Source organism: Homo sapiens, chromosome 1 (genome assembly GCF_000001405.40).
Source record: "Homo sapiens chromosome 1, GRCh38.p14 Primary Assembly".
Taxonomy (NCBI): domain Eukaryota; kingdom Metazoa; phylum Chordata; class Mammalia; order Primates; family Hominidae; genus Homo; species Homo sapiens.
Genome location: NC_000001.11, coordinates 94986516 through 95009425, shown reverse-complemented (window position 1 = coordinate 95009425; position 22910 = coordinate 94986516). Strand labels below are relative to the sequence as shown.

At 41.0% G+C, this 22910-nt stretch overlaps 1 protein-coding gene and 1 long non-coding RNA gene across 5 annotated transcripts in view, besides 1 other annotated feature; one reads left to right on the top strand and one right to left on the bottom strand.

Moving 5' to 3' along the window:
• Positions 1–22910, top strand: part of ALG14 (ALG14 UDP-N-acetylglucosaminyltransferase subunit) — a 98547-nt gene that overhangs the window by 63526 nt on the left and 12111 nt on the right. The window lies entirely within an intron of this gene.
• Positions 425–15935, bottom strand: LOC124904224 (uncharacterized). Its single transcript, XR_007066235.1, has 3 exons — positions 14386–15935; positions 5220–7385; positions 425–3446 (listed from the first exon to the last, which is right to left on the bottom strand). It is a non-coding gene; the product is annotated as an uncharacterized LOC124904224 (long non-coding RNA).
• Positions 5013–5162: an enhancer, noted in NCBI's record as "active region_1351". NCBI's record gives its function as "activates an Ori minimal core promoter by ATAC-STARR-seq in GM12878 lymphoblastoid cells {active_cell/tissue: GM12878}" and the evidence as "EXISTENCE:reporter gene assay evidence [ECO:0000049][PMID:35858748]".

Here is a 22910-nt window from a genome sequence, read left to right as displayed (position 1 = left end):
ACTACAAGGAAATGATATATTCTCTGCTCTACTTACTATAGTAATCACTCCATCTTTAATAATGATAAGTGAAATAGTGAAGAGTAAAAATTTTCACAATGTATGGTTCCTAAATTAATAAATTTTTGTCTTGTAAGTCATTTTAAAAAACCTTTTGCAAATTCCTCAAAAAATAAAACATGATTATAAATAAAATATATAATATTTTATAAATATAAAAATAAAAAAATTACCATATGATCCAGCAAATTTACTCCTAGGCATATACTCAAAAGAACTGAAAGCAGAGACTCAAACAGATACTTGTACACCAGTATTCATAGCAGCATTATTCACAAGTCAAAAGGTAGAAACAAGTGTCCATCAACAGATGTGGAGAAACAAAATGTAGTATATATACACAATGGAATATTAATCAGCCATAAAAAATGCAATTCTGATACATGCCACAACATGGATGAACCCTGAAAACATCATGGTAATAAGCCAGCACAAAAGGACTAATACTGTCTGAGTCCACTTCTTTGGGGTAGCCAGAATAGACAAATTCACAGAGACAGAAAGCAGAATAGACATTACCAGGGGCTGAAGAAGGGGGGAAATGGGAAATTATTGGTTAAGGGATACACGGTATCTGTTTGTAATCACAAAAATGTTCTAGAAATGGATAGCACAATTACAACCTTGTAAATGTGCTTACCATCACTGAATTGTACATGTAGAAAGTGGTTAAGAGGGTAAATTTTATATATATTTTACCACAATTTTTAAAAATCCTTATACAACCATAGCTCTCCTGCTACCCACTTACTGGATCATTTAAATCCAATATATAGGGTTTTTTTATTCTACAGATTACATTTTTTCTGAAAAACCTATTTTTCTAAATAGTATTATCATACTAAAGCTAACCTTATAAAAATTGTATTTCATCTAACAGAAATTTGAAAAAGTTTCATCTTAAATTTATTTGAATAATTTAATTTCTGATATTTGTATTTGATTAGTTATGAAAGTCAGTAATAGAAACATAAGCTTATCTCACTAGAGGTTTATTTTACCCTGTTGGCTTGGATTTTGTGATAAGTGTTCACATAAAATTTAGCCTCTGAATAAATCTACCTGCAGCATGTACCACCCACATTCATCACTGTTCCTGATTGTATGCCTCAAATTCTCTAGAAGTAGGAAGCACTACAGATACCTGCTTACTGTGGGGAATCTAGGAGTTAGGGACTTGTATTTCCGTGAGCCCCTAGACTCATGACACCATTTGTTAGCTTGTTCTGTTTCATGGCTGACAGCTCCACCAGAATAACATGGAATGGGAAAGAAGCGATTCTCAGAAGAAAGAAATACTGAGAAAAACAAAAATAGATGTCTAGCATACCAGATCATTTTATTAGTTAATTCCACTAAGGTTTGTTGAGCACCTCTCATGTGCTTGGCACTATTCTAAGGGTGAGGGATACATCAGCTAACAAAACAGACAAATATGCCTGCTCTCATTTAGTTTACCTTGGAACTGGTCTGTTCAGCTGTAAAGGCATGTTGAAACTTGGGCAGCTGGCAGATATAACATAAAGTGCTTAGACTTCCATGGCTAACCTGTCTCCCACTTCTTGAAGTCATTGCATTCAAGGAGGATAGCAAGCTAGTATTCATGTCAGATTGGCTTCCTTATGCAGAGGTCTGCTATAGTTTCCATAAGTTCAAACCAGTGGGTGGTATTGCTGTGGTTTATGGGGCCCCTAGCATCTAGAATGAGATAAACTGGTACTGTTTTAGCTTGTGTAGACAACATGTTGGCAATAGCCAGTCAAGTTGCTGCAGGATTTCAGTCTCAGACCAAAATGGGATGAAAAATCAGGGGCCTTGATGGAACTTTGCATTTTGGGGCTAAAGCCGAGGTTCACTAGACGTGCAGGAATGCAGAGGTTTTCCAGATACATACCAGATTCAAGCTTAAGGCAGCAATACTAATTCCATTTATAGACCAAGCCCCTGGAAAGGGTGGTGTTCCCGCCAGTCTTGGTTAGATGACTTGGGACATGGGCAGGGCACAGTCTGTTAAGGGAAAAATGTCTTCAGACGGGAAATGACCATAGGATGCTGGTAGATGGATGCTATCAGCAAATAAAAATAATTGTTAGTATTTGTTAGCCAGACCTACATTTTTTCATTTATACCTCACAACAAAAACGAACAAAGGGGGAAAACCCCTCTTTGAGATCAGAAGTCTACTTGCAAGTATTAAAAATTCATATAGAACTTGCTCAAACAAAAAAGGAAATTTTTCAATACTGGCAGTACGGTGATTGTTAAGACAGACCATCCCCACCCCCCTCCTCTGTCCTGATCTCACTGCCTGTGCAGAGGGATAACATTTTTGCCTTTTGGAAATATTAGGAAATACAGTTATATATTTCAGCTCTGGAAGCCACATTCGGTTCTAGGCATCACACTTTTAAAGGGCCATTGACAAATTGCAGCATGTTCAGAGGAAAATGATCCAGATGGTGAGGAAATATGAAACCGAGTTATATAAGAAACAGTTGGAGGAAGTGGGGAGATTTAGCCTAAAGAAGAGGAGATTAACCAGAAAGTATTACAGAGACCACAGTTTTCAGATTCCAGAAGAGACACCACAGAGGTTAGGGATTCATCATGCTCTGCCCATTGGAGCCTTCCAGAACAAAGACCTTTGTCGGGAAGATACGGGTAAAGCATGGAAAAGAAATTGATAACAAAGCCATGCCAGAATGACTGGGCCTCACTGGAGGCAGGTTCTAAGGTGGGTACTAAGCCCCACATTTCTGGAGTTATTCTAACGGAGGATATCAGTCAGCACCTGCTCATTTCATACTTCCTCCATGAGTCTTCCCAGATCTCCTATGGCCAATAATCTCTCTTCCTGGTTCTCCCTTTTACTTTTTACCTCTCTGAAGTGTTTCCATGGATTCCTTTGTATTCAATTCAATTTATATATGTCCATCTCTCACTAGTGATTCTCAAACCTATTGTAATCCTTTTTATATCATGCCTTTTCCTATCCTAAAATGAAAGTCATAGTTAATGGAACCTACCTATATATAATTCCAAAAGTGTAATAAAATGCTCTAATTTTAATAAAAAGGAAAAAATAAAAGGAAAGGAATTTGTAATCAAATTACGTGTTTTGCAATATGTACATACCCAGGCATGACAAACCAGGAGGCATAATCAAGTGCATAGATTCTGAATATAGAATTACCATGAGTAGGACAGCTACAATTCAGACCAGTCCGGGTTCATCGTATTGATAACTCAAAACCTGTGAGCAGCTTTGTTGCCCATGATGTAATTTTTTAAAATGGTGAACAGCTTTTGTAAAGTTCCAAACAAACCAAGTACAGTCTTCCCTCAGTTTCCATGGAGGTTCTATTTAGGACAATTCAGTATAAAACCTGCAAAAAAAATTTTGCCTTTCTATATGAAACAGAGTTAGGTTTTAGGCTCAAACAGTTCTAAACAGATTTTCACTACGTAGATGTCCAATGGGACATTTGAAAGTCAAGAGGGATGTAAGACAGTCCCAAGTATTGCAGAATGTCCATATCCCTGGCACCTGTCCAATAAGTGCAACTAGCACCCCTTAGTCACCATAACAAACACAAATCCCCCTGTAAGCTCCCCTTATCTACTGCTCCATGAAGAACCAGACTATACAGTGAACTCTAGGAGGACGGGGTCCAGTTTTGTTCCTCTTTTAATTTTCTTTTTACTTGATACAAGAGATACTCAATGTTTCTTCAAGTAAAGAATGCAGTAAAGAGGATGCTTAACTGCTTCCCAAGTATCTCAAACTCAGTTTTTCCAAATTGAACTAAGATACCATCTTTCTGATCCCTGTCCCCACTCCCAATCTGTCTTACTTCCTTAATTTTGAGGCCTAAATGATATAACATTATACAAATCCAGCAACTATGGATTCTTCTCTCTCACTGCCTGTGACCAGTAGGTCATAGACCATTTCGTTTCTGGCTTAGAAACATGTCCTGACTCTGGCCTCCTTCATTACCTTGCTCCTGCCTCCCTTTTCATGTTCACCTGGCTGTTGTAACTGCCTGTGTCTCTGCTTCCAGGCTCCCCATCTTCAAATACACACTGAACTCTGAACATTCCATGGATGTGTCAAGCCCTCTAAATTTTGGTACATGCAGTTCCTTATTTCTAGAGTAACGATTGCCTTTTTCGCCTGAAAGACTTATCCTCATGCATCAAGACCTGGCTTCAATGTCTTTTCCTCTGTGAGGTCTTCCAAGATCAGAATTACTCTGTGTGTCTCTCTCTTCATATTCTTCTTGTGGCATTGCTTGAGTTAAACTGTATTTGTTCACATCTCTGTGGTCACTGCTAGATGGAGAGTTCCTGCCAACATGGTGAAACCCAGTCTCCACTAAAATTACAAAAATTAGCCAGGCATGGTGGCATGCACCTGTAATCCCAGCTACTCAGGAGGCTGAGGCAGGAGAATTGCTTGAACACATGAGGTGGAGGTTGCAGTGAGTTGAGATCATGCTACTGCACTCCAGCCTGGGCAACAGAGCGAGATTCTGTCTCAAAAAATAAAAATAAAAAGGCGGGGGCGGGGGCAGGCGCGGTGGCTCATGCCTGTAATCCCAGCACGTTGGGAGGCAGGTAGATCACGAGGTCAGGAGATGGAGACCATCCTGGCTAATGCGGTGAAACCCCATCTCTACTAAAAATACAGAAAAAATTAGCCAGGCGTGGTGGCTGGCGCTTGTAGTCCCAGCTACTCGGGAGGCTGAGGCAGGAGAATGGCATGAACCCAGGAGGCAGAGCTTTCAGTGAGCCGAGATTGCACCACTGCACTGTAGCCTGGGCAATAGAGCGAGACTCTGGGCCAGGCACAGTGGCTCACACCTGTAATCCCAGCATTTTGGGAGACCAAGGCCGGCAGATCACCTGAGGTCAGGAGTTCGAGACCATCCTGGCCAAAATGGCAAAACTTTGTCTCTGCTAAAAATACGAAAATTAGCCAGGTATGGTGGCAGGCACCTGTACTCCCAGCTACTGAGGAGGCTGAGTCATGAGAATCACGTGAAGCCAGGAGGCAGAGGTTGCAGTGAGCCAAGATCGTGTCACTGCACTCCATCCTGGGTGATAGAGCGAGACGCTGTCTCAAAAAAAAAAAAAAAAAAAAAAAAGTTAATTACCCATGCTTTGGAGTCAGCGGCTGGAGTTTCAGTTCTACATAATTTAGTAGTCCTCTGGTCTTGGGCAAAGTCCTTAATCTTTCAAAGCCCCAGGTTTCTTATCTGTAAAATGAGGATAATCGTGGCCACCTCATAAAGATATTGGGAATTGAATACAATGCTTACAAGATGTTTAAAACAAAGTTTGAAATATCCATTATCACTGGCTTTGTATCTATCCAACACCTCATAGTAAGCATAATAGAAAAGATACTTACTAGCTGACTTTGAATGAAAGGACTGCTGATATCAAATTCTGAGGTTTTGTGATTGAATCAAAAAATGGATGTTATATTTAGAAATTATAGCTAATTTTGTCATAAATTTATCCATGGAAAATAATCTTAAAAGAAAACAAAAGTGCTATATTTTCCTCTCTAACTTTTTTGGTGCATTAAAAGGCATTCAGGTTGGGCATGGTGGCTCATCCCTATAATCCCAACACTTTGAGGGGCCGAGGCAGGAGGATTGTTTGAGGCCAAGAGTTCAAGACCACCCTAGGCAACATAGCAAGACCTCATCTCTACAAAATATTTAAAAATTTTTAAAAAATTAGCCAGGCATGATGACACACACTGTAGTCTCAGCTACTCAGGAGGTGGAGGCAGGAGGCTCACTTGACCCCAGGAGGTCAAGGCTGTGGTGAGTCATTATGGTGCCACCGTACTCCAGCCCGGGCAGTAAAGCAAGACCCTGTCTCAAAAAAAAAAAAAAAAAGAATGAGGGCATTCGTTCTAGAACAATAATATAACAACTCTTGAACTTTTAAAGTCCACAACCACTGTGGAATATTATGTGCCTGCAAACCCCTGTGTTTTGGACTTTGACTTGTATCTTCCAAAACATGAAGTGTGAGGAATGTCACCCTTCTCTTATTAATCTGGGATGGTGAAGGACAGTGAGCACCTCTGGTATTGTTGCACTGAGCTCAGTAACTGCCCTGCAGTTCATTCACTTTCAATTGAAAATAAATATGTTTATTCAGCCTATGGACCACTTGTTTCCTTGCTTTAAGTGCTGTTTGCAATATAAAACCGAATCCTAAACTTTAAAACTTCCATAGTTAATACTCTGCTAAATGTTTAAAGCCTGACATTTAATCTCCGTGAACTGGAACGCTCTGATTTCACTGTTTTCAGCTAGTAAATGTCACTCTCAACATTGTTGCTTTCACTCACACTTAAGTGCTTTCATCTGCAGTGGGTGCAGTGTGTCAGAGAATTCTTTGTTTGCCACTTTAGTAAGGGGAAAAAAGACTAAGCTGGGCCTTGAAACAGGGTGAAAAACACTTCGTGGAAGGCAAAGATGACCCTGTTTTTATATGGAGTTTGTGAACACACAATCTTGAGTTCTACCGGATACTCTTAAAAAGCAATTACAGAGTCCTGCTGAGCTCACATGTGCTTGCCAGCCAAACAGTGGGAGTGGGGAAGGAGCAGTAGATACTATCGTTGCTTTAATTCACTTTTGCCTGCAGGAGGAATCTTGTCATCTACTGGCTCCCCAAACTATTTTCAAATGGGATATTTTATTTCTGAGTTTCTGAAGGCTACTGGCACACAGGCCAGCTCTCACTTTTCATCATTTTGACATGAAATGGAAAATCCGTTTGTGGCTGTTTTCGTAGCATGTGATTTACTCCTGTTCTTTTATCTGTCTCCCCTTTATATTTTTTGTTTGGACATATTTTTCTCTTCAGGCTTTTGCTGTCCTGGCGTTTTTATGTTCATCCTCCTTCCCCTGCCTTCTCCCCATCCCCAACCCGCTCAGCCTCCTTCCCCTGGTCCTCAGTCCCTTGCCCCACCCCTCTTGTGCTCATCCAACTTAAGGCGAGGCTGCCTGTCTTTCTCCTCCCTGATCTGTTCCATGCTGCTGCTGGGGCCGCTTGCGCTACTTCTCCCCACCTTCCAGGTTCCCCCCCCCAGGTACTTACAGGGCTTTATCAATATTGGCCCATGAGATAGCTGACAACAAGCAGTCATTGCTGAACTCATCCCTCATCACTGTTGTAGAAAAATAGATTATCAGCAACATTCTTAGGCATACCTCTGTCTTTAAGGTACTTTGTGCCTGCAACAACCAGTGTTTCCAGTTTCCTGGCAACCATATTGAAGCATGAATTTAAGCCTGGAAATAGAACATCATATGAGAAGCACCAAAGTGGAAGTTTAGAAAATCATGCCTTTCTGTCAGACACAGATTCAGGTCTCTACTCTATAGTTTATTAGCTATGTGGCCTTGGACAAATTCATTCATTCATTTAATTGAATGCCTATATTTATGCCTTGTATTTGGCTTTTAGGAAGCTAGTTAATAGCCCTCTGTCTTCTCCACTTATATTCATAACCAGTTGAGAAATAAGACATAGAAACGGCTGGGTTTGGTGGCTCACACCTATAATCCCAGCACTTTGGGAGGCCAAGGCGGGTGGATCACTTGAGGTCAGGAGTTCGAGATCAGCCAAGCCAACATGGTGGAACCCCATCTCTACTAAAAATACAAAAATTAGCCAGACATGGTGGTGCACACCTGTAATCCCAGCTACTCGGGAGGCTGAGACACGAGAATTGCTCGAGCCCGGGAGGCGGAGGTTGCAGTGAGCAGAGATGGCACCACTGCACTCCAGCCTGGACTACAGAGTGAGACTCTGTCTTTAAAATTAAAAATTAAAAAAAGAAGCCATAGAAATCAAATTATTCACTTTATCAACAATAAAAGCCATGTTGGAAGATGCTTATATATGCAGCCACCCTAGGTTTACTAATACTTCTCTCCTAAATTAGACAGCAGGCCTGCCTCTGTTTTTCCCTATCCAGCACACCAGTCGGGGTGTAGAGCATGGTCACATGTTGACAACCGACAAGCTGAAAAGAATTTAAAAAGTGAAAAAACCCATGGGGGCTGGCTGAGCATCCTCAATCTGTCCTCCTAAACTCACTGATCAGGCAAGCTGCTCTTTCTCCTTAGGGAAGGATAGACTGAGAAGGCTGAAAAGAAGAGACTGTACTCTTCCCACCTGGGGCTTGGAAATTCCCTTCCCTCCACGGAAACAGGAGGGTTGAGTATTACCCCCTAACCTTAAGCATTGTATTTAACCAGTGATTACCATGGTAAGCAAAATAAATATTGCAAGCCTGTTTTCTCACCTTAAAATATGGATAATCATAGCTACCTCCTATTGTGGCTGTGGAGACTAAAATGAAATTACAAATTCTTTACAAAGAATATGAGTGTGTGTTAACTGCCATTTTTTGATCAGGCGCAGCCTGAGGTGGAATTGGTCATTCGGTAGGTATGTGTCTTTGTGCCCTCTCTTCTTCTTCTCTTTCTGAACCTTCAATTTGGTGATTTTCTCTTTCTTCATTCCTTTTTTTTTTTTTTTTTTTTTTTAGTGTGGCATATTGGTCCTAAAGCTTTTGATTTCCAGTAAGCATAGGTTGAATTAACTCACACTGGCCAAATCTTTGCTAATCCTGGTTTATGTATTACAGAACTGATTAATTTGAACAAAGAAAGCATTTGGAACAATTAAGTCTGCTTTAGAAGTGCACAACTGGTTGTACCTAAATGATCACCAAATGCATGGCTACCAACAGGAAATATATTTCTTTTTTTTTTTTTTTTTTTTTTTTAGGACAGGGTCTTGCTCTGTTACGCAGGCTGGAGTATAGTGCCATGAACACAGCTCACTGCAACTTCTGCCTCTCAGGCCCAAGTAATCCTCCTGCCTCAGCCTCCTGAGTGTAGCTGAGACCACAGGTGCATGCCACCCAGCTAATTTTTTTTTTATTTTTTATGGAGACAAGATCTCACCCTGTTGCCCAGGCTGATCTTGAACTCCTGGGCTCAAGTGATCTTCCCACCTTGCCCTCCCAAAGTGCTGGTATTACAAGCATGAGCCACTGCGCCTGGCCAGAAATATATTTCTTGATTCCTCACATTTATTGTTGTTTTAGTAACTGGAACAATATTATGCAGCTTCTCTATTACCGTAGAAAATAATTCAGGTGAGCCTTCAAACCACAATAATGAAGAATAACAGTATAGGCAGTGAGTTTAGGAAGGAACTTTTAATCCAGGATATTTGGACTTTATTTTGAAGGCAGGAAGAAGCCATTGACGATAAGTGATGACATAAACTAGATTTGCATTTTAGGAAAAAGGCATGTAGCAGCACTGTAAAGAGTGAAATGGAGCAGGAGGGGTTGGGGCTGGGAATGTGGGTGGGAGGGTTGTGGGAACCAGGTGGGAGGAGAGATGGCCTGCGCCAGGCAGGGATGGTGGAGATCAAGAGCAAGGCCCAGATTTGAGAGGCTTTCTGAGTAAAATTAGCAGGATTTGGGCGAGAAAAGGAAAAGAGAGAAATGTATCATAGTAGGAGAGCTGTTTCCTAAAGTTAAAATAATAAGATTGTAAATGGCAGTGCTGCCAGAGGTCCTTTCCCAGCAGGATAAGAAGGTTTCCATGAGGAATCCAGCGTGGGAAAGACAGCTGGAGCCAAAGGAGAGATGGACTTGGCCAGTAAGAGAACTGGACCAGTCCCTCAGGAGGGAGCTGGAGAGGGAATCCCCTGGCAGGTTAAAATTGCAAGGAATGGGATAACACAGAGATTTGCCTTTCACTGACTGAAGACAGAGTGAGAGAGGAGGGAAAAGGAAGAGTGGAAAAGGAGTAAGTTGGTGTGTTGGGGACATTTGGGGGCTGCATGCTTTCAAGAATGCCAGGATGTTATAGATACTCCTGCCTCATAATTACGTCTAACCATTCAGATAAGCACTTGAAGCCTCATTTCAGGTTTTCCAAAAAAAAAAAAAAAAAAAAAAATGGGTCTACTGAAAATATTTAATTGGATACTTAGCTAGAGGACTTTTTTTTTTTTTTTTAACTTTGTGGACTATGTCTTTTTTGGTGGGGGTGGAGGGATTTAAATTGCATTTTTCTTTTGCCTTAAATTGCCTGAATGGAGGGAATTTGACCTCTGGGACAAGCTCTCTCTTTGTAGTCTGCTTTTTATAAGGATGTTTCATAGTTTTTAAAGACTCTCAGGACTGGAGCATGGAGTTTTTAACTAATGACATGTTTCAAAAGTTTTGTTCATATTTGTACAGGTATTATATAAAACCTGTGTTTGTTCTGAGAGATTTTGTGATATTAAACTTGCCAGCACCTCTAGACACCTAACAATGTATGAGTAATTTCTGCAGGCTTCCCATGAGATTTTTTTGTGTGTACCTGCTTTGTACAAAGCATGCGATAGGGGCTGAATACAATACCATTTCTTGATTGTAAGCTCTCTGATGGCTTACTCATCTTCCCAAGCCCAACTGCCAGGTAAAATGCCAGTACCACTATAATACCTTATACGTATTTAATCCTCACAGTAACCCTATGAGTTAGTTACCTGCCATGTCTATCCTCATTTTGTGAATAAGAAAACTGAGGCATTAGAAAGAAAATTGGCTTACCCAAAGTCTGAAGGCCAAGTGGCAGACAGGATTCAAACCCAGACAGCCTGAGACTACAGCATCTGTACTTTATTGTTATACTGTGCTGCCCTTCTGCTCAGGTTGTAACTATTTAATTCATAAATATATTTTTTAATAAAGTCATATAGATGAGACAACACACAGTGATAAGCTGGTGGTAGTTATTAGAATTTTAACATGGATTTTAGCACACTTGCTTATAATTAACATCACATTTAAAGTTAGTGTCCCTCTATCCAGTTTTCTTTCATATCTTCCCATTGCCAGCACTTCCCCCAACCAAAGGGAGCCTGGTTTTGTTTTCAGACCCAGCTCTCTGTTTCAAAGACTTACACCATAGTGGGCCAGCAGGGAAGGCTGAATGGGGTTAGACAGCCAGTGGAGGTGGGAGTCAGGAACAACAATGGACAACTGGCATAGAAGGCTACATGGCACTTACTCTCCCTGGAAACGCTCCGTCAGACTCAGGAAGTGCGGTTTAATCCTGGTTAAGATAATTCCATTTTTATGCCCTAGAATAGACTGTCTACATTCTCCAACAGAATTTTATTTTAAATGTTACCCTGAGAAGCCCTACCAGTAAATAACTTGGTGTGCATTACTTTCCCTGTTAGCTGAACTGCACAAAATAGGGGTTTATTCTGCCACCACCACCTCTTTTCCCCTTAAAAGGCTCTTCAATGAGAACCTGAGAACCTGTTGCCCCAACAGGAGATGCCTGGACTGTGGCCCAGCCATACCCTCAGTGGGATTTGGAGGAGGAGAGAAGACTGTAATGCAGTCAAAAGAGCCACTGTCGATCTTGAAAGAACATCAATCATACAGATGCCACAAAGATTCTCCTCCCCGCTTCAGTTACAAGACACACCTTTTGGTATTTATTGTGAGGCAGCCCTGTACGGAGAAACTAAAAATAAAAAAAGCAGCAAATATAAGACGTGCTAGGATCTAAGTTCTTTGCAGATCTTACTTCACTTAATCCTCGCTAAAACCCCATAAGGGAAGCACTACTCAAATCCACATATTACAGATGAGGCAACTGAAGTACAGAGAGGTGAAATGATTCCCCCACGGTCACACAGGCAGGAAGTGGTAGAGCCAGGATGCAATCCCAGGCAGTCAGGCTCCAGAGCCCATGCTTTCACAGCTATCCCTTCCCTGGACCATCAGTGCCTCAAATACCCCATCTTGTTTGCAATTAGGCAGAAACTGTTTCAATAAACAGGGGCTTCATATTTGAATTAGAAAACTCAGAGGTTTAATATTATCACCATAGTGGTTGAGAATCTCTTCCTTAACAAGATTCGGCTTTTAGTCAGGCAAGTTGTCTCCCAGATCAACTGCTGGATTAAAACTTGCTGCCCCTGCCTTTAAGACTACTCTGGGAGAGGGTCCACTCTGGTGCTACTGACAGACTGAGCCCCACCAATGAGGCCCTACTTATTGTGCCCTCACCTCCCCAAAGACCCAGGTTGTAATGTGAAGCACCTGCAGCAAACCATTTCTCACATGCCCTTTTAGCAGGGATGGAATGGGACACCTTGGCAGGCAAGATGACCTTAAGTGGCAGGGGATATGGTGCTTTGCCACCCGCCACCTCCCTATTAATGTCTTTCTGTTTTTCCACTTTTGGGTGTCTTCCTTATATCCTGTCCATATTCTCTGGATGCTCTCAACTACCCTTTTTTAAAATGTTAACAGCTGGGTGCGGTGGCTTACACCTATAATACCAGCACTTTGGGATGCCAAGGCGGGTGGATCACCTGAGGTCAGGAATTCGATACCAGCCTGGCCAACAACGGTGAAACCCTGTCTCTACTAAAAATACAAAAATGAGCTGGGCATGGTGGTGGGCACCTGTAATCCCAGCTACTCAAGAGGCTGAGGCAGGAGAATCGCTTGAACATGGGAGGCGGAGGTTGCAGTGAGCCGAGATTGTGCCACTGCATTCCAGCCTGGGTGACAAGAGTAAAACTCCATCTCAAAAAAATAAAAATAAAAATAAAGTGTTAACAGATTATTAGGGAACTAACTTCTAGTCCTTTGGATAGAACTCCACCCAGGGATACTTGCCTTCTAAGAGATGACTCCGAACACCTAACCATCACATGGAAGGGCATTCTGGCTGAGTTCTCCAATATCTGGCAGTTCTCTCTGCTATGGGAAACCTCAGGCTCACTGAAAAGCCCCTCCCAGATGGGTTCAGCAGGGCTGCTTGCCCCTAAAGTGGTATTGAGCAGGATGAGAGAGATTGGCCTTTGATGGATCACCAGTGCCCACATCTCCTTCTTCCCACTGCTTTTCCTCTTTAACACACACAGACCCCTTCTGCCAGGTTGACTGAAAGTAGGGGTACCATGCTTGGACATAGCCAGCCCTGTTCCTATAGTGTAGAGCAGAGGTCCCCAATCTCCAGTGTGCACCAGAATCACCTGAGAGCTTGTTTAAAATGTATATTCCTGGTGCCTAGACCCAGGGATTCTGATTTAGAAAGAATCTACATTTCTGTTAAGTACCCCTGATGAATGTGACGTGAAAGTGTGAGAAACACTAGCATAGAGTCACTCCTCTACTTGCTTTCAGTGGGATCCTCTCTGAATAGAACTGGGATAAACTCATTGCTTTCCTGAAGTCCTACCAATGCTCTTGTCTTTTGCATGTGCAGTAGGAAAGCGTCATTAGTGCAGTCAAGCAGTCTTAATGTAACGCAGCTAAACTTGAAGTCAGTTTTTAAAACCCTCCAAAAACCTCCTAATTTCAACAAAGCAGTGTCATTCAGCTTCTGTAAGTTACTGATGGGTGAGATGCATCACTGCTAGGATTTTGGGAAATGTGTGATGGACAATTAAAGGAAACAACCTTTGAAAGCCTGAATGCACTGACAGTGAAGGACGTTTTTATTGGCAGACCTTGACTGCTTAGTCAATGTGTGGAATCCAAACTTGGCTCCAAAATATATACATTTTTTGAGACAGAATCTCATTCTGTCACCCAGGCTGGAGTGCAATGGCACGATCTCAGCTCACTGCATCCTCTGCCCCGCCAGGTCCAAGCAGTTGTCTTGCCTCAGCCTCCTGAGTAGCTGGGATTACAGGCACGTGCCACCACGCTCAGCTAATTTTTGTATTTTTAGTAGAGACGGAGTTTTACCATGTTGGCCAGGCTGGTCTCAAACCCCTGACCTCAAGTGATCTGCCTGCCTCGGCCTCCCGAAGTGCTGGGATTACAGGCCTGAGCCACTGCGCCTTGCCCAAAATACCACGTTCTTTAAGCACACCAAGAGTACAGCAACTTTAGGATCTCAACTTGTCATATTCTACCTCCTTGCCTCTGTTTCATTATCTTTGAATATATGAATGTGTCTGTCTCTTTCTGTATATCTGTATCTCTCTCTCACACATAAACACACACACATGCACAGAATCTCATAGAGAAGTGTTCTTACATATCCTTTGACTCAGAATTAATGAATCAGATCATCTTCTATAAAAATTCTTAAGCTTATTTTTTATACTGCAAAAATAGTCTGCACATAAAATAAAGAACACTGTTGACCAGTTTTCAGTTCAGCAAGATAGAAATTTAATACATAGGTACGTGTACAAAAATTAAGGAAGTGTCACAGGAAAAATATCACTTACCTACTTAAGAGAGTGCCATGATTGAAGTCAGGAGTTATATAATCACTTTGAATTCAAGCCAGTTCTTCCTGTTTAGGACGAATACTCCCTTTTCTTGTGAAAATGTTAACCATTTCACCATTTTCTCTGCTGAAAACCTTTCCTAATCCATATTACTGTAATAATAGCATGTTATAGTCTGCTACTGATATCTCTATTAAAGCTATATAAAATGTTAATAACAAATGCCAGAATTTAACCTTTAATTAAATTCCCTGTGTCATAACCTTTCTTAGAACCCTCTTGCCTTAAGCCCACTTCTAACAAAAGCTGGACCTAGTTGGCAGGCCTCAGCCAGGCCAGTATGGTAGAGAGGAGAACCCTGGCCTAATCTTCAAAAAGCTTGGGTTTGAGTCTCAGCTATGTCACTAGCTAACTGTATGATCTCACATAGACCAGTTAATTTCTCTGTACCATAGCTTCCTTGTCTAAAACAGGAAGACAGAACATCTACCTCTCAGAGCTATTCTAAGGTTTAAATGAGGTAATTTTGCAAAATGCCACATGTAGACTCTATACCTCGCAAGTGGCAGTTTCCCAGAAAATGTCAGTGTGTTTCCCTTACTCCTCAAGCTGAAGGAAAGGGATTGACCTAAATTATTCCCTGAGGCTTCATCTAGCTCTAGCTGTCTGTGCTTTTGAGAAGCCACTTACTTCAGGGTGTGGAGAAAACAAAAGGAAAAAATACTGGGTTAGTAGGGTTTAAAACCCTCTGTGAAAACATTTCAGAGTTGAAAACACAATGAAAACAAAAAAAGATCAAGAAGCCAGGAAATCATCACCTTGGTCCAGAGAACAGGAAAACTAAAAGATTCGGTTTCCTCAACTGAAAGTAGGAGCAGCCAGGAAGGTTGGGAAAACAATGTTTGGTTAGCCTGATAAAGATCTGTAGTGACGATGCTAAGCAGGCATGGCCTGACCATTCCAACCAAAAAAATGTTTAGGTCTTTATTTATGTATTTGTTTTTCGTGATGGAACATCAGGGCAAGAAAATGAAATACCAACCTAGTGTGGCATTGACAACCTCTGAGCTCTTTTGTCTTCCCTGCAGTTACAGTCAGGGAAGCAGCCATGAACATGCATGGAACGTGCAGACTGTGTAGCACGTTGGGTCTGTAGGATGCTACTGACATGCACTGAAACCAAAGCTGTGCATCCCTAAGTTGTAGAGGGGATTTTGGAGCCTGATGTCTGGATGTCTGCACTGCTTATAGCTTAGCCCAAACCCCAAAAATCAGCATGCTCGCAAGTAGGCTGGGAAGTCTAGTACGAGGGCAAAATTGACAACTCTTGTTTTGAAATGGACAAGCTCAGGCTTATTCATCGTGTCATCAGACTTGTTCACCATGTTATGGCTACAGACCTTCAAGGCCATTTGGCCATGGTCTGAGAAGTATACTACAGGGTCACTGCAGATCCTGAGTAGGGGAAGCTCAGGAATCCTTTAGGCATCCACCGTTGGTGGAAGTCCAGAAAATACTGCCCTTGGTAATCAGGCTTCTTCTATCTTTATACATGTATAAATATATATAAATTACAAATATCTTTATATATTATATAAATGTATATAAATATGTAAAGATATAAAAATATATAATTATATTTAATATTTTTAAATATTTAAATATAAATACTTAAATATCTATATATAAATATAAATAAGATTTAAAATATATATTTATATAAAGATAGAAGGAGCCTGATATATATAAATATATAAATATATTATAATATATATATTTATATAAAAAGATAGAAGAAGCCTGATTACCAAGAGCACTATTTTCTGTGACCCTTCCTCAATTTTTGCCCTGCCCAGTCTACTCCAAGTGATATATAAGACTGGAAGACAAAGAGACCAAAGTGGATGGCTGGGTTATTGTTATCTGGTATGCCCTGAAGGGTAGGCTAAGTCATGCCAGGTCAATGCTATGCCTGTGACAGAGTAACAGGACTTGAGGACAAGATTAGCATAGCCCACATAGTCTATGTGTTTCATAAGGCTCTGGCCTTTGTTCCACACAGTACCCTTAAAGTTTGAAAAATGCCACAAGTATACTACTTTATTCTTTGATGGATAATAATAGCTACCATTTATTGACACATTACCGTGGAGCAAGCACTGTGTTAAATGCTTTCATGTGTTATCTTATTTAATCTCCCCAGCAGATAGCATTTCCCCTGTGTTACATTTGCTTCTGGTTTGGTTAGCATTCCCCATCCCTAACATTCTCCACTTCACCGCTACCAATTCCCAAGAAGAGAATATGTTAGAACTGACTCTCCACCTCCCACTAAGAACTGGCAGGACCAATTCTGTCTTGCCCTGCATCTTTGTTTAGGTTATTCACTACAAGAAGTTCAGAACCCTGAGATACAGTTTCACCCTGGTATAACATTTCTATTTAGCTATAATCTGTCTCAAGCTCCCCCTCCTCTTCAACCCTCCTCTTCCATTGGTCCTCAGTAACTTCGAGTCAGTCCACAAAATCTTCATTCGTCATCCTCTTTACTGCCTCTTGCTCTTATCAGTATCTGATTCTGCCCAGAATACCCTACCAATTCATCAGATACTTGCTTGTAAGTAAGTCACCTCCTCAGGAAAGTCTTTGTCTTCTATATCACCCCATTTCCTTATCCTGCTTTTCAGTCAATGACAGACAAACAATAGTGATCCCGTAAGATTATAATAGAGCTGAAAAATTCCGATCACCTGGTGACATCATAGATGTCCTAATGTAGCACGGGTAAACAAGCCTACTGCACTGCCAGTCATGTAAAAGTATAGCACATATAATTATGTACAGTGCATAATACTTGATAATAAATAACTATATTACTGGCTTATTTACTATACTATACTTTGTATCATTATTTTATAGTGTACTCTTTCTACTTATTTAAAAAAAAAAGATTAACTGTAAAACAACTTCAGGCAGGTCCTTCAGGAGGTATTCCAGAAGAAGGCATTGTTCTCATAGGAGATGACAGCTCCATGCGTGTTAGTGGCCCTGAAGACCTTTCAGTGGGACAAGATGTGGAGGTGGAAGACAGTGATATTGATGATTCTGATGCTGTGTAGGCCTAGGGTAATGTGTGCGTCTGTGTCTTAGTTTTTAACAAAAAGGCTTAAAAGTTAAAAAAAAAGATATAAAAAATCTTTTTGTTCACCTGTACAATGTGTGTTTTAAACTAAATATTTCTACAAAAATCAAAGTTTTTTCAAAAATTTAAAAGTTTATAAAGTAAAAAAAGTTACAGTAAGCTAAAGTTAATTTATTATTGAAGAAAGAACAAAAATGTTTTCATAAACTTAGTGTGGGCTAAGTGTACAGTGTTCATAAATTCTACCATAGTGTACAGGAATGTCCTGGGCCTTCACACTCACTCACCACTCACTGACTCACCTAGAGCAACTTCCATTCCTACAAGCTCCATTCATGATAAGTCCCCTATACAGGTGTCCCATTTTCTGTCTTTCATACAGTATTTTTACTCTACTTTCTCTATGTTTAGATGTGTTTAGATCTACAAATATTTAACCATGTGTTATAGTTGCCTACAGTATTCAGTATAGTAGCATGCTGTGCAGGTTTGTGGTCTAGGAGAAGTAGTAGGCTATACAATTTAGCGTAGGTGTAACATCCAGATTTTTATAAGTATACCGTGTGATGTGCACACACAGTGAAATCACCTAATAATGCATTTCTCAGAAAGTATCCCCATTGTTAAGCAACACATGACTACATATCTATTATTTTCTGCCTACTCACTGGAATGTAAACCTTACAAGGGCAAGGACTTTTGTTCACTAATAAATCCCTAATGCTCAGAACAATACCTGTCATATTATCTTTGCTCAATAAAATATTTGTTGAACGAATGAATTCATGACAGGGGAAACTGAGACATAGCATGGGTAAGTAAACTGTCCCAGGTCACATTGCTGTTAAGCAGCCAACCAGGGTCTGCATGATTGCAAAGCCTTGGTGCATAAGCACCATGTTATTCAGCCTCTTGATGAATTATGTCAATGCACAACAAGCAGGAATATTCTGACCAGACCAGAATAATCGATAGAGCAAGTTAGAGGGAACTTATCAACTGGGCAAGATCCTACAGAACCGAAGTTTACTGTTCTTCTCAGTTATTTTTTTGATTAAATTGGAAAGTTTTTTTGAGTTGTCACCAAGCAAAATGCAAGTAACTAATATTTGAGGATGAGCCAATAAATTCAGTATCCTTAAAACATTAGTGCATTAGCCTAAATGAAAACAATTTATAACTTGCTTACCTTTTTGGTATGGTTTAAAAGAAGATGAAAGCTATTCTGGGTAAAGAGAAATCGGCAAGTGGCTAGATGACTGTAGTACGTTCACGCAGTGGCACAATTGTGCCTATGTAGAAACATGGAATGGATGTAGTTGTATACGTGGAAAAGTAGACCCCAAAATGCTGTATACACAATGATGACATCTCTGAAAATTCTGTTACCAATAGAATTGTAAGAGACCTTGGGTTCATAGATAGTCAGGGATTCGAGGGTTTAGAATTTATTTGGTGATTTAATGTTGTTCTTGATATTTTGATGTTTCTGTTTAACTGTTACTCCTCAGATGATTAAATAAACATAAAAAAGAAGAAATACAATGTACCATCATGTGAGCCAAGCAAATACGTCATCCCCATCTGCTGCACATCCTTTTCCTTCCTGCTGTCCACCTCCACTGATCGCTGACATTCAGCAACTGCCTTTCCCAGGCTTCAGCCCGGCCTTCCTGTCCCCTGACTGTAACCTCTGCATGTTATATACCACCTGACTCTAACTGCATTTTCTTCTTTACTCCCTTGATTACTCTCAGATTCTTCTCTTTCTAGTTGCCTGAGGCTTTTGTCCCACTGCTTTTGCCCTCCTGTCTTAGATAAGTCCTTTTGCTTATCCTTTCCGTACCCTGGAGCACTCTCCCAGCCTCTTTTTGCTGTGCAGTCGCCATCCATGTTTTGCCCTGTCTGACTCCTATGCCCATGGTCCAGTGCTTTTAGCCCTGTCTGAGGAAATCCTGTGACTGCTCTGATGTGATCTGGCCCCCTCTGTCTCTACATTTGCTGCTCTCAAATCTTTGTTCCTCCCATCTAGTTAGGGTTCTTGATAGCAAACTATAGAAATCTACTCTGGCTGATTGAAACAGAAAAAGGATTTAGTGAAGGCTATTGAGAACTCTTGGAATTACCAGCAATGTCAATTAAGTAGGCTTAGAAAATATAGAGGGACAAAGTGGGAACTGAGCAGCCAGAACCATGAATGAAATTCTATGGCCACAGAGCTGGTTTCAGGAGATGCTGCTGCTACTGTTGCTGGACAGTGAACGCTGCAGCTGGCACCACTGGCACTGGATGCTGGACCCCTGCCAGCAGTACCTTTGCTACCAGAACAGAGTCTCCTCCAGCCCTGCCCCTCTGTAGCACTAGCTCCTGGTCAGATCTAGGCAGAAATAGCTGGGCAAGTCACTGGCCCATCTACTAGCTGTAAGGAGGCCTAGAAAGGAGTATCTCACTTCTGCTGTGAGAAAGGGGCTTTGCCTGCAACCACAGCTCATACTCTGGGAAATTGCTTAAACAAATTCTAGACAGGAACAAAACAAAGAAAAAAAAAGACCACATGGTCCATTCCTGATCCATAATAATTGTTGTATTAAACTTTCCACAACTTCCTTAAATCCTGAAAGCTACTTCTTCCAACCTCTCACTCAGCAAGAACTCTGGTATATAGTTTAACGCAAAATTAAACTTTAGGGATCACAGATTTATACACAAAGATGTTCATAACAATATGATTTAGAATAACAAAAAAGGAGTCAGCCTAAATTTCCAACAATAACCATTTCCATTAACAAGAGAATGGTTAATGAGTTATGAGATCTCCATAGGATTAAATATATGCAGTCATTAAAAACCGTGAGTTTTTAAAAAGTATTTTAAAAACAAATATAACTAACTTTACTAATATTATGTATAAGCTCTCACAATTGCAAATATGCATATATGAACATATATTAGAGTATAAATATATACAAAGACGTAAGTTAGAAGAGAATACACCAAAATGTTAAGATTGGTGAGATTAAAAGGATTGTGTTCTTTTTTGTGCTTCTCTGTATTTTTCACACTGAGATGAAAAGTTAATATTTAAAAGAGGGGCAAACTTTCTATGCCACTATTTTTATCTTTTATCATATTCTCAGTACAACTTTTCCCAAACCAACCTCATGAACCAAATACTCTGAATACTTACTATTTTCTCCTGGTATTGAAAGAACTTACCCTTTTCTATGTGGTCATTTCCTCCTTCACTATCAGTTTGTTCTCACTGATGTTTATGTTCACATGTAGATCATTCATTCCATTCTGTAAACCCTTTCCCCAGCCCTGCTTGGCCCATCCAGCTGACACCTGAGCTCCCCTCTCCCACAGCATGCTTACTTTTCCCCTGCCCTGTATTTTGGTCCAATGACTCACTGAAATAGCCATCTCTGAGGTTTCCATTACTCTTCTCTTGACCAAATCTGAAGATCTTTTCTCTGTCTCTATCTTTGTAGCTCTGCTACCTGCAAGAAATGGTATTGATCATTTCATCATCTTTGACACACTTTTAGGGATAGGCAAGGGACCTTGTGGTTTTCTTCTTCTTTGTCTAACCATTCTTAAAGCATTTTCCTGACTTTGCTTCCTGTTCAGCTTTACAGCCAAGCTTCTTCTCTTTCTTTCTTTATTGACAATTCCTACATGTCAGTGTTTTCTCCCTTCCTCATTTCCCCATTTACCTGTCTACGTAATGGAGCCAATACCCTATAAACAGAAGCATTGATTTTGACAGAACCCTTGACCTCCAGGTAGGCTACCTACCCGAGCCAGCCCAGCTTTGACAGTGGGCTCCAGTTCTCTACCTTCATCCATGGCCCCAGGAGCTCAATAAAGCTTTCCCTGCAGCTGTGTTCCTACAGTTCATGACCTCTCTCCAGCCTTCACCTCCATCAGCAAGAGGCTATCAGAAAGTCTGTGTTTGGGCCAGTGCCTTAGAGTTGGACTCTGCTTCTCTGTCCAGTCTCTTAAAATTGAAGCCTTAATTGGACTCTTCAGCTGCCTTTCAGTCTTACCTTCATATGCTCTCTCGGGTCACCCTCAACTCCGTGATCTCTGACCTACAAACCAACCCAGGATGCCAAAGTTCTTAGCCCATATTTGGCGGGGGTGTTTTACTGGATCAGGAGTCAAATTCAGACTACTCAAGTTAAATACATCTTTTCTATGCATTTACTTATTTTTCTTATCCATGAGTTTCCTGAAAATATGTCTTTTCATACATGCAGAATGTTATGTTTCAGCCAATGGGACTTGACCTGTGGTGACCCAAATCTACAGAACAACAATCCTGTTGAAACTGCTCTTGATCCTTGATCTGGCTCATCTATGCTCATGACCTTGTATTTATATCAGTCCTGTCCTCTTTCCGTTTTCTAAACCCATAACATATTATTTTTAGTATCTTAGACTTCCTGCTTTTAGAGAAGTTTATTTATTGATTTGTTAATCATCCAACAGACACATATTGAACCCCTACTGGTTGGTGCTGCACATGGTCAGAGGCTAGTCAGGGAGTTGAACAAAACAAAGGGCTGTGTCACTTAGTATGCTTCTATTGCCAGTGACAGAAATCCTGATTCAAATGATTTAAGCAGAAATAGAATGTATTCCCTCACCTACCTGGCAAGTCTAGGGACAGGTCTGGTTTCCTTCAGGCACAACTGGATTCATGGATCGTAATGCTGCCTTTGGGACCTGGCCTGTCTTCATCTCTCGGCTCTGCTCTGCTTTGTGATGGCTTCATTCTCAAGCTCTCTACATGGTGGCAAAATGGATGTCAATAGCACCAAGGCCACATCCTCCTCAGTTCCAGAACAGTAGAAAATGTGCGGCTTTCTCAGCAGCTCCAGCAAGTGTTCTGCTAAGTCTTGTGGTTTCTGACTGGACTGTGTGCTCTTCCCTGAACCAGTGACTTTCACCAGGGGAATTCGATGCTCTGATTGGTCAGACTGGAGTCATACATCCTCTCCTTACAGCTGGGTGTGGAGTCAGGTCTACACAAGCACTTAAATTGAGAGCGAAGGATACAGTGGTTCGTTCCCGAGGAAAAGGTGATGGATGTGGGATGGTTAAAAAAAAAAAAAAAAAGGGCCAGGCGCAGTGACTGATGCCTGCAATCCCAGCACTTTGGGAGGCCAAGACAGGAGGATCATGAGGTCAAGAGATCGAGACCATCCTGGCCAACATGGTGAAACCCCGTCTCTACTAAAAATACAAAAATTAGCTGGGTGTGGTGATGCATACCTGTAATCCCAGCTACTCGGGAGGCTGAGGCAGGAGAATCACGTGAACCAGGGAGTCAGAGGTTGCAGTGAGCCGAGATTGTGCTACTGCACTATAGCCT